Source organism: Homo sapiens, chromosome 8 (assembly GCF_000001405.40).
Source record: "Homo sapiens chromosome 8, GRCh38.p14 Primary Assembly".
NCBI classification, from domain to species: Eukaryota; Metazoa; Chordata; class Mammalia; order Primates; family Hominidae; genus Homo; species Homo sapiens.
Window position 1 is genome coordinate 22,848,412 of NC_000008.11, and position 23,778 is coordinate 22,872,189.

The window sequence follows — 23,778 nt, forward strand, 5'->3', positions numbered from 1 at the left end:
GAGTGTGTGGGACCAGCCAAGGGGGATAGGGGAGAGGAAATCCTGTGCAGGCTCAGAGAAGGGGAAGTTGTGTGTGTGCATGTGTGTGTGAGTGTGTGCTCACTCCTGTGCAGGTGTGACAGGAGCTGTGCTGTCTGACGGTGCTGTCAGCTCTGCCTGGCTGTTCCCATGCACATGGTCAAATTCCACTTGGAGCCATAAGAAACAGATCAATTTTTGGTAGCCAGAGAAAAAGAGGCAGGTGGGAGGGAGGAGAGAGAGTTGCAAAGGTGGAGACACAGGACTCTTAGTAGTAGCTGTGGCAAGGAGAAAGGAAGGAGAAATTTCCTTTCTTCTGCTGTGTTTTCAGGGAAGAGACGATGATGAGTGTCATCAAGAAGACAGGCAGTTGGGGAAAAAGGCAGACTGCTGAGGGAGCGGAATTGTTTCCCTTTGAAGAACTATCCGATAAAGACAAACGTACACTGTCTAGTCTCTAAACTCTTCTCAGAAGCACTAGCCACCATCATTCAGAGAGCCAGATAACCTTACACTATTTTCTCCTAATAGAGTCCAGTGGCAGGAATCTGGAAAGCAGCAAGTACCAGCTCCAGGCAGCATGTCCATGGAGCAAGAGGGCAACCCCCAGCCTCTGTCCCCTTGAGATCTTAAAGTGCTTGGGACTCTCAGTTCTGTGCTTGAGACCCTAAAGACTTCAGCAAGAATGGCTGGGTAAGGTCACATAATGAAATGAAGATGAACATAAAGCAGTTCTAATAGATGACTTCAGTATTCTCCATGGCTATTAAACTTATTCATCCTTTAGAAGGTAATTATTCTCTCATTTTACAAATGGAGAAGCTGAGGCACTGAGTAAAAATAGATTATGGCTACCAATGAGTTAATAGATATTAGGTGCCTTCTACTGGGAGATGCGTTTCTGGCATCTAAGACCTGGTTCTTGCCTTCAATGTGCTTTACAGTATAGACAGGAAGTGGGGCGTCCCACTGCACAGGCAGGGAAAGGAAAGCTACCGACCTGAGGTCAGTTAGAGGGCAGAAGGAGAGGGTGGAAGACATGGCAACTTGGTATTAGCAGCCTTGGTTGAATCTGTGTGTTACTTTGCTAATGATAACACACCAGCTCTTCTTAGCACCTTCTGACCCAGACGGTGTTTCCGTGCCCACTGCCAAGTTATCCTGGCTCTGCTGGCAATGCTGATGTGTGGCATTATGTGATTCATGTCCCCAGTGCTGCTGTCGCATTCTCTGACATCCTGGGTGTCACCTGCCATGCTGTCTTGAATATGCTACTTGGCCTGGGGTGTTACTACAACTCTTCACTCTTCATATCTACTTTTTATGCAAATAAAGGTTAAAGATGTCAAAATCTGATGCTTCTGATTCCTTTCACATACAGTCAACTCAAGACATTCACATGTCCATGGCTTTAATCTGTCATTTGTTGCTGTGGAATGCAACTGGTTTGTGAGTGGGGTTGGGAGAGAGGACCTCAGTGTACTCCGTGAAGGAGGTGGCACATGTGGGCATTTGGTAAATGCTGGGTGGAAAGAAATAGTGATCAAATTAGGGTGGGGGCAGTGGGCACAGAAGAGCTTGTGTATGACTTGTGTTTCACAGTTCACCAAATATGTCCACACGTAAGGACTCCTGGATCCCCCAGGAGCCCTGTGATAGAGGAAGATATCATCCTACTCTTTAAGAAAAAAAAAAAAAATCCGTGGCTTAGAAGAAATAAATAATGGGCTTGAGGACTTGGCCAGTGAGTGATTGAGCTGGGATGATTCTTGTTCTTCTTCTTACTGCAATGCCTCCCCTGGTTTAGGGTCTGAGTTGATGAGACCCTCCTGAAAACAATGGAAAAGGTGAACAGGCAAGAGTGAATGGGAGGAATGCTTGCTGGCCAGCATCTCGAATCAGGACAACCAGTCAAAAGAGACTGCCTGATGGTGGGAAGGGACTGAAGAGGGACTGGAAAAGGAACAAAGCCAGGGGCTTCTTGGAGCAAGCTGGTCTTCTGGGAGAACTGGGAAGCCAGAGAGCAAAGTCATGTCCAAACAGCCAGGTGAGGCGGGAGCTGTGATAGGGCTGGGCAGCGCCACTAGGAGGGGTTGTTCTTGGTCTGAAAACATCTCCATGGCAAGCGTGTGTGTGTGTGTGTGTCTGTGTGTCTGTGTGATGCTAGAAAGAGCAGGGGCTATGAGCCTAGCTCTGTCTGTGGAACCTGCCATTTGTGACTTCTAGTCTTAGTTCTTCATTTATATGATGGAGATACTCATCCTTCCTCCCAACATGGTTTGAAAATGAAATGAAATCCGGATGTATGGAGCTATGTCTAGGCGCATACGCAGGAAGACTGCTGCATATAGTCAGTGTTACTAACAGCCACAGCCTCTCAGGACCTCAGGGAGGGGTAGGAGGAAGGGCCTCTCATTGCAATGTGATCCAAGTTTAGAAAAGAGTTGGAATAGACTTGGGTTCAGACACGGCTTCATGCCATGTCCCACTTCCAGGAAAAGAAACGGGCTTGTTGGAAAAAGAAAACAGACTCAGAAAGCATCTTGGGCATCCAACAGTTCTTAGGAAACAGCATTTGGGCAAACATCATTGAATCAGCAACACTTGGATCCAGTTTCCATTGACAGCTTCACAAACTGAAGATCGAGAGGCGGGGGACCTGGAAAGGCAGCCTCTTTGGGACAACATCCAAATGGATCTTGCCCTGGGTGACAGTCTCCACTCCTTTCCTCTCCTCCACATTTGGCTTGCATGGTGCCTCTAGTAAGTTCTAACATGCAGGACTCCACGGAGACTCCTGGGCTTCTGGAAGACGGATGCGAAAGACCCGGAGCCCAAAGCCGGAACATCTGGCTTGAGTTCCAGGCGCACCAGTTATTGGGGCACTGAATGGCCTTTCTTTGTGACTTTGCATTCCAGTTCCTTCTGAGTCGATTCTTGAGAAGGAATATACTCCCATCAAGGAAGTGCTTTGGGGCCCTCAGTGAAGCCTACTTAAGGTACACACTTGGGATTTTGGAACTAGATGATGAGACCCAGAGATCATCTGGTATAACCTTATTATAGGACAGAGAAGGAAACTGAGCTCAGGAAAGCTAAGCAACTTGCCCAAGACCACACAGGAAAAGCAAGGTCTTCTAACTCATGTTGCGGTGCTCTCCCAGGGCGCCACCCACCACACATTAGAGTTACTCGGGTCCTCACACCTAAAGCTGACAACGAGCAGAAAAATCCTCTCTCTTTTGCTTATCAGAATCCCATTACCCATAGTTGCTGGGAAAAGGGGGCATTAAATAGTTCCCCAGAAAGCACAAGCGAGGACTTGGGGGGAAGAGGGAGTGTGTGTCAGCCCTGATAATTGAATCTCGGTGCAAAGAGACAGCCGGATGCACTGCAATTGAGTTAAGTGGAAAATGGCATTTTCGTATTGTTAGGAGCCTTCTCAGCCCAAGGCCCTGATCATTTACTCCGAGCACCTGGTGGTCTTGCAGCTCTGACCCCAGCGCCCAGCTGAGCCACGGGCCAGCTGGGATCAGCTGTGTGGGGCAGGGAAAGAAATTAATTTTCAATCCCTGGGGACTGCAGTTGGTAGCTCAGCAGCCAAGGATTACACAGACCCGGAGAGAATAGGGCACCATCCCTCTGGGGGAGTTATTGAACTCCCAAGTGCTGGTGGGGAGGTGGCAAAGGAAAGAGGGAGAGGGGTTGGAACAGTTTTTATTGGGAATCCCATCACTGAGATTTAATGGACATTCTGTTGCTGGAGATTTGGTCTCTTGCCGATTTCTCTTCCCAATATTTAATTTCAAACTCCTGCCCTCCACCTCCAAAGCGTCAGCCCCTAGAGTACAGAAGAACTGAGTTTCTTGTTCTTCTTTTTTTCCCTATCTGTTGTAGTGAGGCAAGAAGTTGCTTTGGCAGAGCGACCATGCTCTGATTACACGAACACATTTGCAGATTCCGGCACCCTCCCATCTTCAACGACCATCCCAAGAGCACAAACCTCCTGATTTCTTTCCCAAACCCATGTAAAAAGGAGCAAGCCTGGGTCTCCTTTCCCTCCGAGCCCACCTTTTCTAGTCGTTGGTAAATGAACAGCAGCGAGAAACACACCACAAGAGCGTCCAACCAGAAAGAGCCTAGAAAAAATCTGTTTCCCAACACAAACTTGGTTCCAACGGAGTCTTTTGTGAGTGTGAAGAAAATATGAATTATAGTTCCTGGCCGTGCAAAGTCCTCACTAAAAAGAAAAAAAAAATAAGAAAGAAAGAAAATGCTACATCTGTTTCCATTTCAGTTGCTCACATGTTTAAATACATCGATGAGGCATCCGTCTAAATTTACCAGGTCCTGAGCAATTAACAATTAAAAAAAAAAGACTAAAAGATGATGGCAACGTTTGAAAAAATGCAAAATGCTAAGATGCGTGTGTTCATGTGTTCATTTCTATCACACTGCATTCCTTTGCAATCCTGGCACTCCAGGAAAACTGGAGCAAGGCCTCTAAAAAGGAACAGGGCATCATTAGCGCAGCCAGATCCCTATCTTAGCCTGCAGCAATTACCATGCTTCCAAGCGAGCTGCGAAGCGCTTTCATTACTGGGGGACTGAGGGGTCACTCACCTCCAGCCCCCATCTTGGGCTAAAACAAGCATTTTCCGAACTAAGCATTCCAGTTTCATTTCAATCTGTAATTGCTTTGATTTCGGTATGCGTAGAACACGGAGGCTTCATGACCAAGAATTTTATTAGTCAATAAGTTTGCTACTGTTATGAATCATTAGCCCTCATTTTACTCCTTTCCCACACTGGCCTGAACCAGTGTGACAGATTTCTTTTGTCCTCCTGTGGGGACCAGTGAAAACACCCTGCAAGACCACCTGTTCCAGGGATAATTGGTTTCTCCAGGTCACAGAGGTGGGATAAAATCAGTGGATGTAAACCTGGAGCATTATTTCTGCTTTCATACTAAAGGAAGTCAATGCCGGGCACTGGAGTTTACTGCAAAGTTCTTACATTTATTTAAAGTTTTAAAATTTTCAAGCTGCTTAATATCTATTAGCTCAAAGCCCTGTGAAGTAAGTAGGAAGGTACCCTTCTTTTCAGAGAGAGGGTCAAAAAGCTGCTGATCAGAGTTAGGTAGGAATAGAGGGAACCAGGGCTTCCTGCCTCAGTCCTGACCTTCTTTCAATTCTACAACTTGCCTCACTGCAAATTCCCTTCACAGGAGGAAATCCAGAAGGTGAGCCATTAGGGATACAGAGCTCAAATCCTGGACTCTACTATTGCCTCCTGGAAGTCCAGCACTCCCTCTTTGGGCCTAATAAATGACAGCCTGAGTCCATGGATGGTTCTGACCAGGAACTTGTCCGGACGAAGGCAAAGAAACGCTTCCTCCAGGCCTTAGGAGGAGTTGGGATCTGCAGATGAACAGATCACAGGAGATGCATCTTGGTTGGGACAACAATTATGCCAACTGCTTATTGTTTTTGATAAACTGGCCACAGATCCTAGTTAGCAAGAACAACAAACCTCACCAACGCCAGAATCCAGAGACCATGAGACCAAAAAAAGAAATTCATATAAGAGAAAAAAATGATCCATCCAATATAATCAGTGCCTGCAATGCTGCACACAGATAGGTGGTCTCACAGCCTCACTACTTAAGAATCCCAATGCATGACTCCAGGTGCTAGAGGACTGGATATGGCCCTACCCTTCAGGAATCGACTGAGTTACAAAGTGGCTTTGAGATTGGCAGCAGCCTCTAGGTAAGTGAGGAGCTTTGCTGGTGTTCATTTTAACTCTAATTTCCATAGGAGATGAAACCTGACTGGTGACTTCCTTTGTATTTCCCTACATCTGCCAGGACAAATCTTTTTGCAGAGGGCTCACCAAAATATGTATATTCACTACATATCTGCTTCTGGGACACTATCAGGTCTGGCACCCACTCCTCCTACACAACATGCATACACAATAGTATTATAGGGGGAATGATAAAAATAAGTAGTCTTGCCGTAGGGACCAGTCTCAGGAACGTGCCTGGTGGAAATGAATGTAATAGTGCCTTGATAAGAGCCAGGAATACAAACCACCTCCACGACTGCCAGTAAAGGACAGAGAGATAAGCAGGGGCTGGGGCAATGAGGGAGCAAAGGAGTTAATGTCTTTTCTCCCCGTCTTCACTTAGGGAATTTGAATTCTTGATCAAGCGATTTGTCAGGATTGTTGTGTATTTACTGTAATTACAGAACATCAAATGTGCATTGACGTAATTACCATAAATATGTGTAAAGACATTATAACGTGTAATTATGTCATATAATTCTTTAATAAAGCATGCAGAAGAAAAATTACTCTGCACATGCTCAATGCATATCTTCTCCTGACTCTTTCTACTGAAGGTTTTATTTGCTCCCTCCCCCTCCCTCTTTTCAAATTCCAGAGACAGTTTCTCCCATTTAGGATTAACTAGCAGAAGGGTGAGATTAGAATGTGTGTGTGTGTGTGTGTGTGTGTGTGTGCGTGCAAGCTTGTCCAAATGAGTGTGTATGTGTGAGTATGCACGCACACACACACACACACACACACACACACACACACACACACACATGCACCCCAGGAAAGAAAGGCGTTTTTTAAACCCTGGAAGACGTACCATGGTCCAGGTGTGAACAGCATACCAGTCTTACAGTCAGTGTTCCCATGGCTGACACAGAAGAATTCTGTGATCCAAGATCAACTCCTCCTCTCTCTCTGCGCTTCTCCCACCTGTAATTGCCTGGGTGACCTGTGCCCTGCATGGGGTGAATGTGTCGGTGCACGGGTCACACCGTGTAGTGACACTGAGAGCTCCTGGGAGAGGGATGCTTGGGAAGATGTTGACATTACTGTGAATGCAGGGAACTTTTGTAAAGATCTGAACAAAAAGTAAAATCCCCCAGATGAGATCTCTAGGGGTGTTCAAGTGGAGCCCAGATTGTCACCAAGACTAGAACACATTTAAAGTCCTTCCCCAGCCCTCAGAGAGTCTATTAGATGTGGGGTCTGTGTCATGATCTGTATTTTCACATCCCTTCCTCTGGCCCTGCAGGCCTTTTGGAGGCTGTGCACCCCTGAGGTTAAGTCTTCTGCAGAGAAAATTGCTGGAAGTATTATGTCCCTGGAACTCAGCGTTAAATCAAATGAGAAAGAATGTCCTTATGCGTGGGGAAGACCTTCCCAATGATGATATCAAAATCAAAATTATAAAGGAAAAAGACTTATTAGACTATGCAAAAAGGTACAATTTCTCTACATAAAAATACCACAAATATAGTAAAAAGCAGCCAGGCATGATAGCTCACGCCTGTAATCCCAGCACTTTAGGAGGCCAAAGCGGAAGAATTGCATGGGCCTAGCAATTTGAAACCAGCCTAGACAACAAAGTGAGACCCCATTTTTACAAAAAAATTTTAAAAATAGCCAGGTATGGTGGTGCACGCCTGTATTGCCAGTTACTTAGGAGGCTGAGGCAGGAGGAGGATGGTTGAGCCTAGGAGGCTGAGGCTGAGGCTGCAGTGAACCATATTTGCATCACTGCACTCCAGCCTGGGCGAGGGTGAGACCCTGTCTCAAAAAAAAAAAAAAAAAAAAGGAAACCTAATATAATAAAAAGCAAACAAAAGACCAAGAAGATATTTGTAACATATATGATGAAGGGGATAATATACCTAATGTACTAAAAAGTCTGACCAATCAGTAAGAAAAAAGTCTAAATAGAAAAAATGGGCAACAATGGAGAGAAAAATCACAAAATAAATACACATTGCCAAAAAGCACATGAAAAAATAACCAGCCTAATTTATAATCAATTAGGGTACTATTTTTTACTTGTCAAATTGGTAATTATTTTAACAAATTCTAAAATACAGTGTTGATGAAATGTTGACAGTATGATAATAGAAATTGGGTTAACTTTCTTGGGGCAAATTTGGCAATGAATATCAAAAACCTTGAAAAGGGCTGAGAGAGGTGGCTCACACCTGTAATCCCAGCACTTTGGGAGGCCGAGGCAGGCGGATTACTTGAGGCCAGGAGCTCGAGACGGGCCAGGCCAACATGGCGAAACCCCGTCTCTACTAAAAACACAAAAAGTAGCCAGGCGTAGTGGTGCATGCCTATAATCTCAGCTGCTGGGGAGGATGAGGCATGAGAATTGCTTAAGCCCAGAAGAAGAGGTTTCTGTGAACCGAGATTGCCCCATTGCACTCTAGCCTGGGCAATAGAGGGAAACTGTCTCTAAATAAATAAATAAATAAATAAATATATAGAAAAATAAAAAACCTTGAAAAGGTGCATACCCTTTGATCTATTAGTTCCTCTTCTAGGATCTTACCCCCAGAAATTAAAAATAAAGTCAAAGATTTAGGCCTCAGTTTTCCTGACACCAAATTATTTATAATAGTGAAAGAAAAACTTCCCCAGAAACAACTCAATGTCCAACAAAGGGGAACTGATTAAATGAAGGAAGATAGAGTCTGAACTCCACAGAACACAATTCAGCCATTAAAAATGATAGGTGAGTGTTTGATGACATGAACTGATGCACTATGATGTTAAAAAAAAGCACAAAATTATAAGCCAGTCTGTGAAGTAAGATACAATTGGTAAGTATAAAAATGTAGAGGAATTTATACCAAGATATTAATACTGGCTTATCTTTTAGTGTGGGAGTAGGGACATTTAATTTTTTTCCCTTTCTTTAAAAAAAAATCTGGGTAGTCCAAATTTTTATAGTGGACATTTCCTACTTTAAAAAATGAAACCTACACACACACACACACACACACACACACACTTACTCACTCACACATTTTGGTTTAATATCCTGAGGCAGTTTACAGAGAAAGCATCTATACCATACGGGGCTCCATCACCTACCAATGCTATACCCTTCTCTCAGCCTCTTGCTCCCCATCACCCATTCCAGAAAACACTTGTGGCCAGAGCCAAGTTCTTGAAGGACCGCCAGGAGTGGAAGACTCAGTGCACAGTATATTCTGGCTTTTAAGCAGTGAGTGAGATTCACAGCAAGCAAACAGCAGAACTGGAATTGGAAGCTAAGATGACAGCAGGCCAGAAGCTGGCCTGGTTGGTAGGGTCCTTGAACCCAGGACTGATGTAACGAGTCTTTCATCTGAAGTCACAGGAGAACCTGAAGTTGGGGGAGCAAAGAGAGTTGATTCTGGTGGGATGCAGAGTCCAGGACCAAAGAGGGAGGTGGAAGTGGGTTACTAAATGGAAAAGCCAGAAGCCAGCATCGAATACTGAAGCATTCCTCATAAGCTTTTCTCTCTATCTATCTGACTTTGTATATGACATGGTTAAGGCAGCATACCAAGTCAGGGAGCAGTGAGCCATGGAGAAGAACAGGGGGCAAGGGATGGGGAGCAAGAGGAGAGCTGTCCATGAGAACTACCTGCAATAGTAGGAATTGTCCGTCACCTGACTTACATGCCCCTGGTGCATGGTGTGTTGGGCGATGCTTCACGGACCGTCCATGGGGCAAACTCTTAGTTGTTAACCCAACCATCTCCTCCACCACTTTTCAGAGCGTGGGGACCATGGGGTAGAATTCTTCTAGGTGACAAGGGCTGAGACATTTTGTTCTTGCTGCTATTATAACTAAGGCGGGGTCCTCTCCATGTCCCAGTGAGAAGGGATAGCTTCAGCAGCACCCACAGACCCAGCTAGTCAAAGAGGGATAGTGTGGGTGTTGAAATGGTGAAAGGAATCGTTCAGCTTCCTGCATTTCTTCTTAAGTTCCTTTCTCAGATGTTGGGCAGCAAAATAGTGACGGCATCTGAGGAGTGTAGCTGTTTTTAGCAACGTGGCTTAAGAAAGGAGTTAACATGGCCTTAATGAATAACCACAGGTTAACCCTTATCATCAATCTCAGAATGAGAATTTCCTTCTTCTCTTTTCATTTTGGTAAATGCAGAGATAAGGAGCATACAGAATATATCCTCACTGTCAAATGCTTGGCCCCAGCATCCTGGGAAAATGCAGAGTATTAAGTATCTCATCCTGTTACTCAGATTTCAAAGTATGGCATTCTCTCTATCCCATTCATTTTCTCAATATTCTTAGAAAGCAAGAAAGGGATAATTAGACTCATCTTAGAGATGAAAAAACTGAGACTTTGAGATGACAACTGAAGCCTAAAACTCTCATGTTAGATAAATAACAGAGGCTGGGCCTGGTGGTTCATGCCTGTAATCCCAGCACTTTGGGAGGCCGAGGCAGGTGGATCACTTGAGGCCAGGAGTTCGAAACCAGCCTAGCCAACATGGTGAAATCCCGTCTTTACTAAAAATATAAAAATTAGCTGGGCATGGTAGCGGGTGCCTGTAGTCCCAGCTATTTGGGAGGCTGAGGCAGGAGAATCGCTTGAACCTGGGAGGCAGAGGTTGCAGTGAGCCAAGATTGCACCACTGCACTCCAGCCTGGGTGACAGAATGAGACCCTGTCTCAAAAAACAACAATAACAAAACAGAACTACACAGAAGGGACTACCTTGTGGTCATCTGGTTTGGACTCCATTTAGAAGTCAGCATGGCACGGGTGTCCCCATAATACCCAAACACTTCAAAAAACCCAACATGCGGAATTCCAAGATGTCATAGACCAGCTCATTTCTACTTTCAATAAGTAAACCTTTGTCTTAGGCTGAGAGAAGCCCAGCCTATAAAGCAAACTACGGCAGCACCTATCTACCAGGGAGCACTATCACATGGCCATCAGACTCCCCCCGTGGAGCCTGCACCCCAGGAGAAAGTCAAAGATGGAAAATCCAAGTGGCTTCTGAGGCAGAGCCAGTAATTCGCCGAGTGTTGAGCTTGCAGCACTGAGGTTGCTTACAACTATTCAATTGGAAAAAAGTCAGACTCATCAGGCTGGAATCTCATTAGTTTCCCTTAGTGAGCTGGAGCTTGAATACTCCAGGGGGATCAGTCCAAAACAAAGCCAGCAGAGGAAGCAGCCAGAAGTGTCCAGGTGCAGTGGGCTGTCTCTGGCCCAGGTGAGATGAGCCTCGGGACCTATTTAGAAGAAGAGGTTGGGTTGGGATAGAACTGAGATAGCAGCTTGGCATACTGGCCCACAGAGTACCTGTGACGGCTGTCTAGTAGCCAAGATTGAGAATATTAGAAGACCCACTTCAGCAATGTATGAAATCAAAGCCCACATTTTAAACTCCACACTCCCTGACACGGCATTTGAGGCCCATCTGGTCTCCATCTTGCCTCATCTCCTATTATGTCCCTCCTCGTACTTTAACTTTGGGCCCTATCAGTCCAGCATCCTTTCCTTGCATACAACCTACACTCTTATGCCTCTCTATCTTGCCTTACATCTTTGTTTTTGTAGATCCCTTCCCAATCTTTTTAAAAAATATTGTCTTTGGGAGGCTGAGGCAGGAGGATCACTTGAGCCCAGGAGATGTCTGTCCCTGGGCAACATAGGGAGACCCCATCCCTACAAAAAATTTAAAAATTAGCTGGGTATGATGGTGCACGCCTAAAGTCTCAGCTACTCTGGAGGCTGAGGTGAGAGGACCTCTTGAGCCCAGCAGTCAAGGCTGCAAATGAGCTATGATCATGTCACTGCACTCTAGCCTGGGTGACAGAGTGAGACTCCGTCTCAAAAAAAAAAAAAAAAGAAAAAGAAAAAAAATTATATATACACATATATATGTATATATATATACACATATATATGTATATATATATATACACATATATGTATATATATATATGGTGCCAGAATACACATATCATGCAATTTGCCATCCTAACCATTTTTCAGTGTCCAATTCGGTAGTCTTAAGGACATTCACGTTGATATGCAACTGATCTCCAGAATGCTTTTCATTTTGCAAAACTGAAACTCTTTACTCATTAAACGACTCCCTCTTCCCTCTCCCCCCAGCTCCTGGCAACAACCATTCTGCTTTCTCTCTATGAATTTGACTCCTCTAGGTATCCTGCCTAAGTGGAATGGTACAGTACCTGTCTTTTTGTGACTGGCTTATTTCACTTAGCATAATGTCCTCAAGTTCCATCCATGTAGTAGCATGGGCCAGAATTTCCTTCCTCTTTAAGGCTGAATAATCTTCTACTGTGTGGATATACCACGTTGTGTTTATGCATTCCCATCTTTTTTGCCCTCTCAAAATCTGACTCTATCTTCAAAGCTTAAAACCCAGGATACGTACTCCGTGGAGCTTTCCTCAAGACCCTCCGTTACAAGTTAGTCATGTACAAAGATCTTTTGAGCATCTGTTCCATGCTAGGCAACAGGGACACAAGGATGAGTAGCCACAGTCTCTCCTGCACGGTCCATCCAAGCCCAGCTTACTGAGCACACTGCAGGTGACTCGGTGACAGCCCTGACTGTCCATGTTCATGACACACTGTGCTGCCACGAGGTCTACTTAATGGTTTCTGTATTAGTCATCTCATTTGTAAGCTCTTGAGGACCCGGGCCACATCTGATCTCAGTATCCCCAGTGCCCAGCACAGTATATTCAACATAGAAAATGCTCAATAAATATTTGTTAAAATAGAATTAAATTTGCATTCCTTGGAACGTAGAGCTTCTTGACTTCTAAGTGACTGGCCAGTTGACACAATAAGCTGGAAGTCAGTGCCCACTTATTGCCAGAGCTGTTACTTGGTTTTTGTCCAGGGCCTCAGGTTTTGATTCCAAGCCTTCACCAGTGGAGTGGGGAATTTTATAAAAGAATTTCACTTTAGCCTACTGAAGTCAGCAGAGGGAGAAGTGGAGGTTCAATTTGCCCTATTACAGCTAATAATAATAGCTCAGACGTTTTGTGCTCTTTCCATGTACCAGACTTCCCAAGTGCTTTCCATAGACTAATTGAATCCTCACAACAAGCCTAAGAGATAGGTTTTTAGCTAGGATAAATAAATATCGACTACTATCCCCATTTCGCAAATGATACAACTGAGGCCCAGAGAGGCTACACACCTTACCCGCTGAATACAGAGGAAATTAAGTCATACGGCCAGAATGCAAATGCAGGCGGGCAAACTCCCAATCCTATGCTATTCTCCTGGACTTTCTGTGGCAAGATTTGACAGAGATTACATTGAGCAGAACTCACTGGAGAATCTCTTTAAAACATTAAAAGGGGGCCTGACCAGGGCTCTCTGATGTCAGGGATCTATTTTCTGTTTTGGCTCTCGTTCTGAGTCTTGCAGCCCATCTGGATTCTGAATTTCCTTAGGTCCAAAGGATGTCAACTTGATTAAAGAGAAATATCAAGAACTAAGAACTTCTCTTGACAGAGAGGTATGGGGTAGGGGTGGTGGACAGGAGAAAATGAAAAGAAACAGAAAATGGGTTCAGTTGCCACTTATAATAACCTAGTCTCAATCTTGCGCTTTAGCGATAAGATCTTAGGAGCAATTTGTGAGGAGAGTTTGAGCGGCATACTGGTTGGATCGGGAGCACGAAGTCATTCTCTCTGTCCCCGCTAAGTCTGAACCCTGAATTAATTTCTCCTGCATGTTTAGCTAGCACCAAGCGAGTGATGCCAACACAAAAGCGGCCGCTTGATCAGGAGTATTGATGGGGAGAAGAGAAAGAAAAGATCAAAAGCACTCCGGCTGAACTGAAGGTATGGGGTGACAACAGATCCCAGAGAAAGCTGGCAGCATTGTTCAGGAGGCCACAGGAGTCGGGGGCCTGGGATCCATCCTCAATCTTCCCCTAACCACACAAGTAACTCAATCTCTGGATCTCAGAAAAATTCAAGCTGGAATTAGTACCCCCATGATGTCTTCCAGCTATAACATTCTATGATTCCATAGCCTAGCCAATTACCTACAGGAGTATCTCGTCTGCATAAAAAATGGAACTGTTCTCCTAAGTATGTTTTCCTGCCCCAGAAGAGTGATTCAGCGATTAATGTCAGGGTCCCTGATTTCCTCCCTAAGTATCTAAGACTTAAGGGAAGGGACCAAGGGAAGACTTCACAGGATCCGAAAACAGCAACTTGTGTAGATCAGCCGGGAGAGGAGCTGGGAGTACAGTCATAACAAGGATAGGATAGAGGGCTCTGGCAGTATTCAGAGTAATTACCATTTATTGAGCATTTATTAGGTACCTCACACCATTCTAAAGGCTTAAACACAAACTCTTTTAAGCTTCAAAGGATTCTCATATATATTCAATCTATAGGTGAGAAAACTGAGGTTTCAAAAGGCTGAATAAGTAAGTCACAACCTCCCTATGGCCACACAGCTAGTAGGAGTGGAGGTACTGAGGTGTGAGCCCAGACCAGGGCCCACCCTCATAACCTTTTTTTTTTTTTTTTTTTGAGACGGAGTGTCGCTCTGTCACCCAGGCTGGAGTGCAGTGGTGCGATCTTGGCTCACTGCAAGCTCCGCCTCCCAGGTTCACGTCATTCTCCTGCCTCAGCCTCCTGAGTAGCTGGGACTACAAGCGCCCGCCCCCACGCCTGGATGATTTTTTTGTATTTTTAGTAGAGATGGGTTTCACCATGTTAGCCAGGATGGTCTCGAGCTCCTGACCTCGTGATCTGCCTGCCTCGGCCTCCCAAAGTGCTGGGATTACAGTAACCTCTTCTTTTATTGTCACGACAGACTGGGATTTAATACTGGAAAGTTGACCCTGGATGCTGTTGGCAGTGAAAGGCGGCTGTGGAAATGTCCAGGCACAATAATAACAGCATGGAGAATGAGATGCAGAAAGGCCCCACATTCCTGCTGCCCCAGTAGACAAAGCTGCTGAATGCAGGGGAGTCCCTCATGCTCCCTTCCTCTCTGTGTGTCCTAAGGGCCATTATCCAAGCCCATCTTCTGCACAGCTGGCTCCAATTGGAACACAATTCAGGTGTTCAAAAAATGACACTATAATTTTTTGGTTGGAAAGCAGAGGCTGAAACTGGTAAGGAGGCTTCCTACAGCTTCTGAAACCTCAGTCATAGATAGTTGGCAGCGTTTTCTGATTTATGGTGAAGGGCGTGGAGGGAGGGTTAGCTTCTGGCTGAAGTGTGCATGGGGCTTTTGATGAGGATGAACAGTGGTTAGGGTCCTGCCTCCCTGCATCCTTCTATCTCTATACGCCTCAGATACCAGGAGAGTATTCCCCACCCCTTCTCACTGCTCTGATCTGTTCAACGCACATTCATTCATAAGCTCAGACAGGCGCTGTGTGCGTCGTTGCTAGTTGCCATAGCAGAGACAGAGGGTGGGTCTCTGCCCTCCAGGAGTACCAAGTGTCCAGCACATAAGAAAAAAGAGTTCCATCTGAGCGATGATACCTGGCTGAAGGACTAGGGAGATGTTAGGCCTGCCTAACAGCATGCTACAGGAGAAAAGAAGGATGTGTCACTCTGGATCTCCAGTTAAGGAACTGTCAAATGTTTCTCAAATGCACGCTGTCCTCTCCAAGACACTTCTCCATGATGTCTGGTCCGGACTTTTATCATCTCTTGCCCCGACTACTGTAAGGGCTTCCTAACCCATCAAGCCTACCCTCCTCACAGCCACCAGAATGATCTACTTAAAACTCCAGTCTGACCAGATCATCTCCAGCCCCGCCTTGCTCCTGGGCACACAGAACATCTTCACCTCCAACTTCATACTGCTTTTTTCTGAACCTCGCGCTTTTGTTCGTGAACTGCTCTCAGGCCCCCTGCCTTTTGCATGATTAATTCCAATCTCAATTATAGTCTCAGCTCAGGTGTCACCTAGGACACCTTACTTGATTATAAACAGGACAAACACAGGACCAGCCCCTTCCCTCCCTCCTTGCCTGGAGTGAGAGTTCTGTGCCCTTATAACATTCTCGGCAGAAACAGCTCTGTGAGGCCACCTATTTGTATTGTGATGATCTGCTTCTAGGCTCACCTCTTCAGCTCTTTGAGGACAGGGACTGTGTGACCTCTGAACCTAACCCAGGACCCAGCACTGACTTAAGAGGAAGTGAGAAGGCTCTGGTGAAGATAGAACCACCAATAGACCATAGGAGACGAGGGGTTCTGTCCCAGCTGGGTCCCATCCGCATATCCTAACCCTATGCCTCAATTTCCTCCAGGAGAAAGCTTGGGGGAGGGGTGAGGAGAAGCAGTAGGAATCGAAGTGACTCGGAGGAAGCGGCTTCCATTCATTAGCATTTGTAAAGGGCTCTGAGCGCTGCAGATGGAAGCTGCTCCGCCAGGCAGCTTGTTAGGACTAAAAATAGAGTTGTGTAGCACCTTCTCGGCAGAGCTCAGGAAAGGGCGGAAGGGGTGAGAAAATAGGTAGCCAGAGGTGGAAGTAGCTGACCAAGTCCTAGCGGGTAGTACGCACCACAGTAAAACACCACGGGGGCCGCTGGGCACCGCCGAGCGCCAGGCTGGTGAACTGACCCGCAGCGCACCCCATCTGTGTGGGAAGGTCGGGGCAGGGGACCCAGGGCGGGATGGCGGTGCTGGACCCCGATGAGGCCCCTTCACGGCCACTAGGGGGCAGGAGTGCGGGGCGGGCAGCACGAGGGGGCAGGTGTGACCGTGAGAGAGGGAGGCAGGCGGCGAGGCCAAGGGGTAGGTCACCAGGCGGGGACCTGCAGGGCCAGACGCCGAGCCCTGGATGCGAGGTGGGGGTAGACAGAAGGGCTGGGGCGGCCCGGGGAAGAACCAGTGCTGGACGGGGCTAGAGGCCCACGTTCTCCTGTGACTCAGGTCTGACTCAATGCCATTTCTGAAACAGCCTGGGGGGCGGCGGGAGGGGGAGGGAAGGTGTTTTTGCGAAAATGACAAAACAACTCCTTGCTCAGGGCAGCCCGGGAAGAGCGGCGGGCGGATGGGAATTACCCCGGGTCCCCCTGCGGCGTCTCCCGCTGCCCACCCACGGGCGGTGACGGTGGCGGTGGCGGTGGCGGCGGCGGGACCCCGGGCCTGGCTGCGCGCTCCACCTGCGCCTCCAGGGCGTTGGGCGGGGGCCGCACTTTCCCCGCCGCGAGGTGGAGCGCGCCACCGCCCCCCCGGCCGCGCAGCGAGAAGGAGCCTCGGGGAAGAGCTAAAAAAGGCAAGGCGCTGCTGCCGGTGCCGGTGCCGCAGCCGCCGGGGAAGGAATTCCCTCCGCCCGGGCGCACGCGGCCCCCCGCCCCCGCCCCATCCTGCTCAGAAAAGCCTCGGATGCTGCCCGGGAGGAGGAGGCAAAGGAAGACTCCGTTCCAGCCACCTCCCGCCGCCCGGATCCCAGAGGAAAGGGGAGAGGAATCTCCCCACCGGATCTGGTGGGCGGAAGATGGGCCACGCGGGAAGGAGATCGGCGGCCACTCCCGGGGGCGCGAGCGGCGGCGCCTAGAGGGACCCCCACCCCGGGCTCGAACTCCCGACAAGACTGAGCGCAGGGCCCACCCCGGCTGTCCCAGCTCGGGCGCCCCAAACCCACAGCTCCCACTCAGGACACGCGCCTCGAGGTGTGGCCCGGCGCCGGGCGGTGCTGCCCGGAGAGCGCGCAGCCCCCAGCCGGCCGCGCCAGCGCTGCGCCCACTCTGCTCTCCCAAACCCAGGGCGTCATCGGCTCCACGCCTGTCCCCTTTCAGAGCCAGAGACGAGCCCCAAGAAATCAGGAAATAACTTCACTTGCCAAATTTTAGTTTTCAGAGCAATTCCACGACACCGTCTTGCTTGTCTCACAGTCACCCTGGCGTCTCCATTTGACAAATGAAGAAATGGGAGACTAAGAAAACTTAATTATCAGCCTGCGTTAGCTAATATATGTACGACACAAGGCCACGCAGGCCAATCTTGGGTCCTGTGGTTCAGAAACTTTCATCTGGTCCTTTTCGCTATCCTTCTCCGGGGTCTTTTCAAGCATTTAACATTTTGGGGATGCCTGTTTTGTACCCAGCAAGACGCTGAGGACAGAGAGATGAACAGCCACTCTCTGACCTCAAGGAACTCACAGTCCGGTGAGAAAGAGAGAAAACAAAATTACAGATTAAAATATGCTGTAAACCACACTGTTCTAAACACGGAAACAGATTCGGTAACTTCTCTAGGTCTCAATATTGTAGTGGTGCCACCAGGATTTGAACCCAGACAGTCTGACTCCAGAGGCCACCCACACATAACCACTATACTAAACTGCCTCTTTTGTGCTTAACTATATAGCCTTAAGGGGGTGGGGTGGGGGGAAGCAAATCACAAAACAGTATGTACAGTATGCTTCCAATTAAAATACATATAAACACACAGGAAAAAAACAGAATATATGTCAAAATGATGAGTGATTTTTGTTTTCTTCTTTTTTTTTTATAAGCGCCATATTTTTCTTCACGGAATATGAATTTTATAATAAGAAAAAAGCAATAAATGTTATTAAAATACAGCTTGAATGCAAAGCTTCCAAAAGGTGGTGATGTGTGAGTTTGCCCTAGTGGAAGTGGAGGAGCTAGTCCGGCTGGGAGATGGGGAAGGGGACCCCAGGAAGGAGAACTTTGTACCCCAGCTGTGCAAAGGATCGGCAGGAGCATAGAGGCGGGTTGAAGAAATTGCAAGTAAATCTGTGTGATAGGAACGAAGAGGGGAAAGGGTGCAGGAGATGAGGCCTCAAATCACATTTCTGGGGAAGCCCCTCGGGTAGAGAATTCCAGACCCCTAACATTATCCTAAAATCTGCCCTTTCCCTTGAAGACCTAAGAGAGCCATCCCAGAGTGGGCTGAGATTCCTGAAAGTTATTATTGTGTTATAAATCTTTTTCTATCTTTGGAGGTGAAAAAGCTGGATGTAGGACATTAGACTCTGTCAACATATTTGGGTCAGAAGGTGCCAAAGTGCTGGGTGGAGATCATCGAGGATGGGCTGTTACCATGCACATTTTCATTAATCGGGCCCGCTTCATAACTCAGGTTTACTCTTGCTCAGATCCGAGCCTGCGAAGATGTCGTGTCAATAACCCCCCAGCCCTTGTGCCGTTCTGCCCATCTCACAGAGGTCTCCTTAGCACACCAGCTTATTAAAGCACTAGATTTTCAGGTTGCGGAAGGCAGGTCTTGTCCTCCACACCTGGCCCAGCTTCTCAAAGTGCCCTGGGTTCCCCCTTTCCATGCTGGGGAACCCTGGACAAAGGCCAGTTCACTGCCCTTCCCCCTCTGGCTCCAGCCTTCTTGGAAACAAGCCTGACCCCTCCTCCAACCCCACCCCAAGAGTTGCAGCATTCAGTGCACAGAATGCAGACTAGCAGCTTCTCCGCAGATTCTGAGTTCCAAGCTGGAAATAGAGGGGCCTTTGCTCACGTCATTGCATGAAATTCACCATCTGCCACTTCAACAAGAGAGACTCAGGGATGTTGAATGTGAAAACTCGGCTCTTGCTTGGGCAGTTGACTGGATTTCAGGGTGAGGACCACATCTGGCATGTTAACCCTGGGACCTGGGTTACCAATATTAGAGATTTGGCCTGATACTTGTCCAATAGGTGATGAACCCATAGTTACAGATCTCCTTTTAAACAGTCACCTCTGTGCATGCACAGACCGTAGGCAATAGGATCTAGCCCAGCCCGGCTGGCAGGGGTCCAGGGTAGATTTGGCTGTTTGATAAGTGGCTGCCGACAGAGTTGAAGCCACTGCCCCAGATGTTGGGGGTTGGGTCCCCCTCTGTTTAGCTGCCTTGTCAGTAGAGAGGGAAGACAGACCATGAGGAGCCATTGTGAGCATCTTTGCAGGTCAGAAATGTCTATGCTTTTGCTGCTGGAGACGGGAAAACACCCCCCTGGTTTTCTCTTCTTACTGCTTTTTAGTAGTGAGCAGTCAAGGTGTTTGGGGATTTGTCTTTGTGATTGTCTCTTCAGTGTGATTTTTGGTAGCCTGGATTTGTTCGCCTGCTTTCAAGCCTCCAGGGAGTCTCAGAAAAGCTGCTTTCCTCTGGGTGTGCCCGGTGTGTGTGCTGCCTGCCTGCATTCTCTCCAACTCCCCAGTAAGTCCTGGGTAGAGGTAGGGGTGGGAGGAATTGGGTTTTATTTTTCCTTTTTATTCCCCACAGAACTCAGCCCAATTTCATATACACAAACAACCCTGAACTCTAAACCCATCTGCCCAACATCTGTGTGCCTGACCTCTCCAGCAGGATGTCAAACAGTGTAAACAAAACATGTCCCCCTGACCCCTAAACCTGCTCCTATCCCTCTCAACTAATGGCAACTACGTCCTTCCAGTGGCTCAGGTCAAAAATTTTTGCATCATCTAGGATTCCTCTTTATCTCACCCCCATATCGAATCTAGCAGGAAATGCTGTTGGCTCAATATCTGACCACGTCTCACCGACTTCACCTCCTCTGTCATCTCCTACCTGGATTATCACACTTAGCCTCCTTCCTTCCTTCCATCTGGGCATCCTGGGCAGCCTGTTTTCAACATGGTGGCCAGAGAAGTCGTGTTCAAACCTAAGTGAGGTCATCTCGCTCCTCTACTCAAATCCTTCCCATGGCTCCCCATTTCTCTCTGAGCAAAAGCCACCAGACCCTACAGGATCTGCAGATACCACCCCAAAATCATCCTACATCTTTCTCCTCCACGCTACTCATTCCAGCCACACTGGCCTCCTTGCAGTTCCTTAAACACACCAGGCACTCCCCTGCCTCATGGCCTTTGTACTGGCTGGCCCCTCTGCCTTCTTTCTCTGCCTTCTTGGTTCCATCTTCATCCTCTTTGCTTAAATATCCCTTTCTCAGTGAAGTCCACTCTGCCATCCTATTTATGTTGTAAATGTCCCCTGTGCCAGTGCCTCTTGTCTCCCTTGTTCTGCTCTTACACTGGACTGGGTTCCAGATCGCTGTATGGTATACTTGTGTATGTTTTTCCCTATATATATTTATGTTTGTTTATTTATTTTTGTGTATGTCTCCCCTACCAGAAAGTGAGCTCCACAAGACTTGGGGCTTTGTCTCGTTCCTTCACAGATGCGTCCTCAGGACTTAGTGCCGGGCACAGTGCAAGTGTTTAAAGAATAAACAAATGTGGGTTCAAAGTGAAAGGTGGTTACAGGCTCATGGACTTTCCCCAGGAAGCCATGCTCCCCCATAGCTGCTCTTGTTTTGGGCACCTCTTTCATAAGGAGCTGTGAATCTGCTGGACACACAAGAAGAGGGAACAAAACTGAAGGAGGCCACAGACTGGGAGAAAATACCCATGGAAAAAGACATACTTGATAATGGACTGGGATCCGAAACATACAAAGAACTCTGAAAACATAACCATAGGAAAATGAATAACCCAATTAAAAAATGGGCAAAAGATCTGAACAGACACCTCACCAAAGAAAATATACAGGTCCCAAAGAAGCATATGAAAAGGTGCTCATGATATGTCACTAGTGAATTGCAAATTAAAACAACAATGACATACCACTATACACCTATTGGAATGGCCCAAATCCAGAACACTGACAACATCAAATGCTGATGACGATGTGGAGCCCTAGGAACTCTCATTCATTGCTGGTGGGAATGCAAGATGAGACATCTGCCTTCAAAGACAGTTTGGCAGTTTCTCACAAAACTAAGCATACTCCTAGCATACAATCCAGCAGTTATGCTCCTTGATATTTACCTAAAGGACTTGAAAACTTAGGTTTCAAGACACAAAACCTGCACCAGCCAGCCTGGAACAAATCCAGGCTTCACACAAAAACCTGCACACAGATGTTTATTCATAATTGCTAAAACTTGGAAGCAACCAAAATGTCAATGAATGGTTAAATGCACCATGGCACATCCATGCAATGAAATATTATTCAGCACTGAAAAGCAATGAGCTACCAAGCCATGAAAAGACGCAGAGGAATCTTAAATGCATATTACTAAGTGAAAGAAGCCAATTTAAAAAGATTACATGCGGTAGGATCCTAACTATACAACATTCTCAAAAAGGCAAAACTATGGAGATAGTAAAATATCAGCAGTCGCCAGGGGTCAAGAGTGAGGGAGGGGATGACTAGGTGGAGCATAGAGGATTTTTAGACAGTGAAATTGCTCTGTATGATATTACAATTGTGGAGACTTGTCATTATACATTTATCTAAACCTATAGAATGTACAACACCAAGAGCGTAACCTAATGTAAAGTATGGGCGTTGGGTGAGAATGACATGTCAATGTAGGTTCCTCAAATGTAACAAATGCACCCCTCTGGTGGAGAATGTTGATAGTGAGTGGTGGGGAGTGGGGGAATGGGAGGAGTCAGGGGTGTATGTGGGAACTTTCTGCAGCTTCTGCTCAGTTTTGCTGGGGACCAAAAACTGCTCTAAAAAGTAAAGTCTATTGAGAAAAAGTTGAATGGGCCACAGGTCTTTTCAAACAGTAGATCTGCAGGCTCTAAATGGCTACTTCTCACCTATCCAGAGAAGCCCTTGGGACCTCTGCCAGAGAAGGGGTTTTGTTTTGGAGCAACCCTCACCTCAAGATTCTCAGGATCAAAGATGGCCATTGATGAAGGTGGAAAGGGAACGTTCTGGAGGATCCTCTACAGATGCACTTGGACTTGTTTCTTTCCTGCTCAACCCAGGAAAATAAAAGAAAGACTTCCTATTGCTACGCCTGACCCCCAATCCCAAAGTTGGGTGAAGCAGGATCCTTTAATCCACTGAAATGCTGCTGGGCCCTGGGGGTGAGGGGTCGGGGGTGGGTGGAAAAAGAAGCAGGAAGAGCTGGGATAGGTGACCCCGGAAAGCAGGAGCAAGAGTCCAGCCTCTGTCTAGAAGCGAACATCAAACAACCTACTGGTTTCTCTCTGACAGCAGTTCTGTCCTAAGGACAGTTCCCCTCTAGGCTTGGGCCCACATTTTGCACCCCCATCACTGTTGTGGGAAATGTAGTTTCATTTCTGCCCATGGGCACTAAAGGACCTAGGAAGACCTCTCTGGAATAATAATAGTCACTACAGATTTAGCTCCTCGTCCTGTACTAAGAGATTTACATCTATTATCATAATTAGTCCCCATAACATTCTTTTTTTTTCATTTTTATTTCTATTTAAATAGGTTTTAGGGTACAGGTGGTTTTTGGTTACATGGTTAAGTTCTTTAGCAGTGATTTCTGGGATTTTTTTTTTTTTTTTTTTTTAAGACCGAGTCTCACTCTGTTGCCAGACTGGAGTGCAGTGGTACGATCTTGGCTCACTGCAACCTCCAACTCCCTGGTTCAAGCTATTCTCCTGCCTCAGCCTCCTGAGTAGCTGGGATTACAGGCACGTGCCACCATGCCCAGCTAATTTTCGTATTTTTAGTAGAGATGGTTTTCACTATGTTGGCCAGGATGGTGTTGATCTCCTGACCTCCTGATCCACCCGCCTCGGCCTCCCAAAGGGCTGGAATTACAGGTGTGAGCCACCGCGCCTGCCCTGATTTCTGGGATTTTAGTGCACCTGTCACCCAAGTAGTGTATGCTGTACCCAGTATGTAGTCTTTTATCCCTCACTCCCAACCTCCCCCCGCAAGTCCCCAAAATCCATTATATCACTGTTATGCCTTTGCATCCTCATAGTTTAGCTCCCACTTATAAGTGAAAACATATGATATTTGGTTTTCCATTCCTGAGTTATTTCACTTAGAATAATGGCCTTTAGCTCCATCCAAGTTGCTGTGAAAGACATTATTTCATTCCTTTTCATGGCTGGGTAGTATCCTATGGTATGTATACACCATATTTTCTTTAGCTGCTCATTGGCCTATAACATTCT

The 23,778-nt window shown here is 46.9% G+C and overlaps 1 protein-coding gene across 2 annotated transcripts in view, besides 3 other annotated features; it reads right to left on the reverse strand.

The window, feature by feature from the left end:
- PEBP4 (phosphatidylethanolamine binding protein 4) overlaps nucleotides 1-23,778 on the reverse strand; it is a 227,827-nt gene that overhangs the window by 135,161 nt on the left and 68,888 nt on the right. The gene's annotated exons all lie outside the window — the stretch shown is intronic.
- Nucleotides 15,718-16,294: an enhancer, noted in NCBI's record as "NANOG-H3K27ac hESC enhancer chr8:22721642-22722218 (GRCh37/hg19 assembly coordinates)". NCBI's record gives its function as "activates a minimal SCP1, AML or CMV promoter by ChIP-STARR-seq in naive and primed H9 embryonic stem cells {active_cell/tissue: H9 hESC(naive and primed)}" and the evidence as "EXISTENCE:reporter gene assay evidence [ECO:0000049][PMID:30033119]".
- Nucleotides 16,295-16,870: an enhancer, noted in NCBI's record as "NANOG-H3K27ac-H3K4me1 hESC enhancer chr8:22722219-22722794 (GRCh37/hg19 assembly coordinates)". NCBI's record gives its function as "activates a minimal SCP1, AML or CMV promoter by ChIP-STARR-seq in primed H9 embryonic stem cells {active_cell/tissue: H9 hESC(primed)}" and the evidence as "EXISTENCE:reporter gene assay evidence [ECO:0000049][PMID:30033119]".
- Nucleotides 16,595-16,664: a silencer, noted in NCBI's record as "silent region_19014". NCBI's record gives its function as "represses an Ori minimal core promoter by ATAC-STARR-seq in GM12878 lymphoblastoid cells {active_cell/tissue: GM12878}" and the evidence as "EXISTENCE:reporter gene assay evidence [ECO:0000049][PMID:35858748]".